Raw genomic sequence first — 4,540 nt, 5'->3', positions numbered from 1 at the left:
GGAGTGGCGAGAGAGGGCTTCCCTGTCTTGTTCCAGTTTTCAAAGGGAATGCTTCCAGTTTTTGCCCATTCAGTATGATATTGGCTGTGGGTTTGTCATAGATAGCTCTTATTATTTTGAGATACATCCCATCAATTCCCAATTTATTAAGAGTTTTTAGCTTGAAGCGTGGTTGAATTTTGAGAAAGGCCTTTTCTGCATCTATTGAGATAATCTTGTGTTTTTTGTCTTTGGTTCTGTTTATATCCTGGATCACATTTGTTGATTTGCATATGTTGAAACAGCCTTGCATCCCAGGGATGAAGCCAACTTGATCATGGTGGATAAGCTTTTTGATGTGCTCCTGGATTTGGTTTGTGAGTATTTTATTGAGGATTTTTGCATCAATGTTCATCAAGGATATTGGTCTAATATTCTCTTTTTTGGTTGTGTCTCTGCCAGGCTTTGGTAACAGGATGATGCTGGCCTCATAAAATGAGTTAGGGAGAATTCCCTCTTTTTGTGTTGATTGGACTAGTTTCAGAAGGAATGGTACCAGCTCCTCCTTATACCTCTGGTAGAATATTGCTGTGAATCCGTCTGGTCCTGAACTTTTTTTGATTGGTAGGCTATTAATTATTGCTTCAATTTCAGAGTCTGTTATTGGTCTATTCAGAGATTCAGCTTCTTCCTGGTTTAGTCTTGGGATGGTGTATGTGTCCAGGAATTTATCCATTTCTTCTAGATTTTCTAGTTTATTAGAATAGAGGTGTTTATAGTATTCTCTGATTGCAGTTTATATTTCTGTGGGATCAGTTATGATATCCCGTTTACCATTTTTTATTGTGTCTATTTGATTCTTCTTTCTTTTCTTCTTTATTAGTCTTGCTAGTGGTCTATCAATTTTGTTGATCTTTTCAAAAAACCAGCTCCTGGATTCATTGATTTTTTGAAGGGTTTTTTGTGCCTCTATCTCCTTCAGTTCTGCTCTGATCTTAGTTATTTCTTGCCTTCTGCTAGCTTTTGAATGTGTTTGCTCTTACTTCTCTAGTTCTTTTCATTGTGACGTTAGGGTGTCCATTTTTTATCTTTCCTACTTTCTCTTGTGGGCATTTAGTGCTATAAATTTTCCTCTACACACTGCTTTAAATGTGTCCCAGAGATTCTGGTATGTTGTGTCTTTGTTCTCAGTGGTTTCAAAGAACATCTTTATTTCTGACTTCATTTCATTATGTACCCAGTAGTCACTCAGGAGCAGGTTGTTCAGTTTCCATGTAGTTGAGCGCTTTTGAGTGAGTTTCTTAATCCTGAGTTCTAGTTTGATTGCACTGTGGTCTGAGAGACAGTTTGTTATAATTTCTATTCTTTTACATTTCTTTAGGAGTGCTTTACTTCCACCTATGTGGTCAATTTTGGAATAAGTGCGATGTGGTGCTGAGAAGGATGTATATTCTGTTGATTTGGGGTGGAGAGTTCTGTAGATGGCTATTAGGTCCGCTTGGTGCAGAGGGGAGTTCAATTCCTGGATATCCTTGTTAACTTTCTGTGTTGTTGATCTGTCTAATGTTGACAGTGGGGTGTTAGAGTCTCCCATTATTATTTGGTGGGAATCTAAGTCTCCTAGTAGGTCTCTAAGGACTTGCTTTATGAATTTGGGTGCTTCTGTATTGGGTGCATATATAGTTAGGATAGTTAGCTCTTCTTGTTGAAATGATCCCTTTACCATTATGTAATGGCCTTCTTTGTCTCTTTTGATCTTTGTTGGTTTAAAATCTGTTTTATCAGAGACTGGGATTGCAACCCTTGCATTTTTTTGTTTTCCATTTGCTTGGTAGACCTTCCTCCTTCCCTTTATTTTGAGCCTATGTGTGTCTCTGCTCGTGATATGGGTCCCCTGAATACAGCAGACTGATGGGTCTTGACTCTTTATCCAATTTGCCAGTCTGTGTCTTTTAATTGGGGCATTTAGCCCATTTACATTTAAGGTTAGTATTGTTATGGGTGAATTTGATCCCGTCATTATGATGTTAACTGGTTATTTTGCTCATTAGTTCATGCAGTTTCTTCCTAGCATCGATGCACTTTCCAATTTGGCATGTTTTTGCAGTGGCTGGTACCAGTTGTTCCTTTCCATATTTAGTGCTTTCTTCAAGAGTTCTTTTAGGGCCAGCCTGGTGGTGACAAAATCTCTCAGCCTTTGCTGGTCTGTAAAGGATTTTATTTCTCCTTCACTTATGAAGCTTAGTTTGGCTGGATATGAAATTCTGGGCTAAAAATTCTTTTCTCTAAGAATGTTGAATATTGGCCCCCACTCTCTTCTGGTTTGTAGAGTTTCTGCTGAGAGATCAGCTGTTAGTCTTATGGGCTTCCCTTTGTGGGTAACCCGACCTTTCTCTCTGGCTGCCCTTAAAATTTTTTCCTTCATTTCAACTTTGGTGAATCTGACAATTATGTGTCTTGGAGTTGCTCTTCTCAAGGAGTATCTTTGTGACATTCTCTGTATTTCTGAATTTGAATGTTGGCCTGCCTTGCTAGGTTGGGGAAGTTCTCCTGGATAATATCCTGCAGAGTGTTTTCTCACTTGGTTCCATTCTCCCCATGGCTTTCAGGTACACCAATCAGACGTAGATTTGGTGTTTTCACATAGTACCATATTTCTTGGAGGCTTTGTTCATTTCTTTTTATTATTTTTTCTCTAAACTTCTCTTCTTACTTCATTTCATTCATGTGATCTTCTGTCACTTCTGCCCTTTCTTCCAGTTGATCGAATTGGGTACTGAAGCTTGTGGATTCATCATGTAGTTCTCGTGCCATGGTTTTCAGCTCCATCAGGTCAATCTATGTAGAGAATTTAAGGACTTACTTACACTGGTTATTCTAGTTAGGCATTCGCCTAATCTTTTTTCAAGGTTTTTACCTTATTTGTGATGGGTTTGAGCTTCCTCCTTTAGCTTGGAGAATTTTGATCATCTGATGCTGTCTTCTCTCAACTCGTCAAAGTCATTCTCTCTCCAGCTTTGTTCCATTGCTGGTGAGAAGCTGCATTCCTTTGTAGGGGGGGAGATGCTCTGAATTTTAGAATTTTCAGCTTTTCTGCTGTGTTTTTTCCCCATCTTTGCGGTTTATCTACTTTTGGTCTTTGATGATGGTGATGTACAGATGGGGTTTTGGTGTGGATGTCTTTTCTGTTTGTTAGTTTTCCTTCCAACAGTCAGTACACTCAGCTGCAGGTCTGTTGGTGTTTGCTGGAGGTCCACTTCAGACCCTGTTTGTCTGGGTATCAGCAGGGGAGGCTGCAGAACAGCAAATATTGCTGAACAGCAATTATTGCTGCCTGATTGTTCCTCTGGAAGTTTCGTCTCAGAGGGGTACCTGATCATATGAAGTGTCAGTCAGCCGCTACTGGGGGGTGCCTCCCAATTAAGCTACTTGGGATTCAGGGACCCAGTTGAGGAGGGAGTCTGTCCATTCTCAGATCTCAAACTCCATGCTGGGAGAACCACTTCTTTCTTCAAAGCTGTCAGACAGGGACATTGAAGTCTGCAGAGGTTTCTGCTGCCTTTTGTTTGGCTATGCCCTGCCCCCAGAGGTGGAGTCTACAGGGGCAGGCAGGCTTCCTTGAGCTGCGGTGGGCTGCACCAAGTTTGAGTTTCCCAGTCACTTGTTTACCTACTTAAGCCTCAGCAATGGTGGGTGCCCCTCTCCCAGCCTCACTGCTGCCTTGCAGTTTGATCTCAGACTGCTGTGCTAGCTATGAGCAAGGTTGCGCGGGCTTGGAACCCTCCAAGACAGGCACTGGATAAAATCTCCAGGTGTGCCATTTGCTAAGACCATTGGAAAAGTGCAGTATTAGGGTGGGAGTGACCCGATTTTCCAGATGCTGTCTGTCACAGCTTTGCTTGGCTAGGAAAGGGAATTCCCTGACCCCTTTCACTTCCCGGGTGAGGCAATGCCTCACCCTGCTTTGGCTCATGCTTGGCGCACTGCACCCACTGTCCTCTACCCACTGTCTGACAAGCCCCAGTGAGATGAACCCTTTACCTCAGTTGGAAATGCAGAAATCACCCATCTTCTGTGTCGCTCATGCTGGGAGCTGTAGACTGGAGCTGTTCCTGTTCAGCCATCTTGGAACCGCTGCCCACATTATTTTTGTTTTGTTTTGTTTTGTTTTGAATTGGAGTCTCACTCTGTCACCCAGGCTGGAGTGCAGTGTCATGATCTCGGCTCACTGCAAGCTCCATCTCCTGGGTTCATGCCATTCTCCTGCCTCAGCCTCCCAAGTAGCTGGGACTACAGGCACCTGCCAACACGCCTGGCTAATTTTTTTTGTATTTTTAGTAGAGATGGTGTTTTACTGTTTTATCTAAGATGCTCTCAATCTCCTGACCTCGTGATCCACCCACCTCAGCCTCCCAAAGTGCTGGGAATACAGGCATGAGCCACCACACCTGGCCAAAGAAACATTATTATTGGAATAATATAGTTCATAGGTTTTAATGATAAACTTGGGGGATGTGTTAGTCGTCTTCAGATTGAGATGAGTAGAACACATACATGGAAA

At 42.2% G+C, this 4,540-nt stretch overlaps 1 annotated feature.

The window, feature by feature from the left end:
- Positions 3,954 to 4,126: a silencer, noted in NCBI's record as "fragment chr11:50108005-50108177 (GRCh37/hg19 assembly coordinates)". NCBI's record gives its function as "represses an EF-1alpha promoter that drives an FKBP-Casp9 reporter gene in an ReSE screen in K562 erythroleukemia cells {active_cell/tissue: K562}" and the evidence as "EXISTENCE:reporter gene assay evidence [ECO:0000049][PMID:32094911]".

The sequence above is a fragment of the Homo sapiens genome, chromosome 11, assembly GCF_000001405.40.
Source record: "Homo sapiens chromosome 11, GRCh38.p14 Primary Assembly".
Classification (NCBI taxonomy): Eukaryota; Metazoa; Chordata; class Mammalia; order Primates; family Hominidae; genus Homo; species Homo sapiens.
This window is presented reverse-complemented; position numbering and strand designations above follow the sequence as displayed.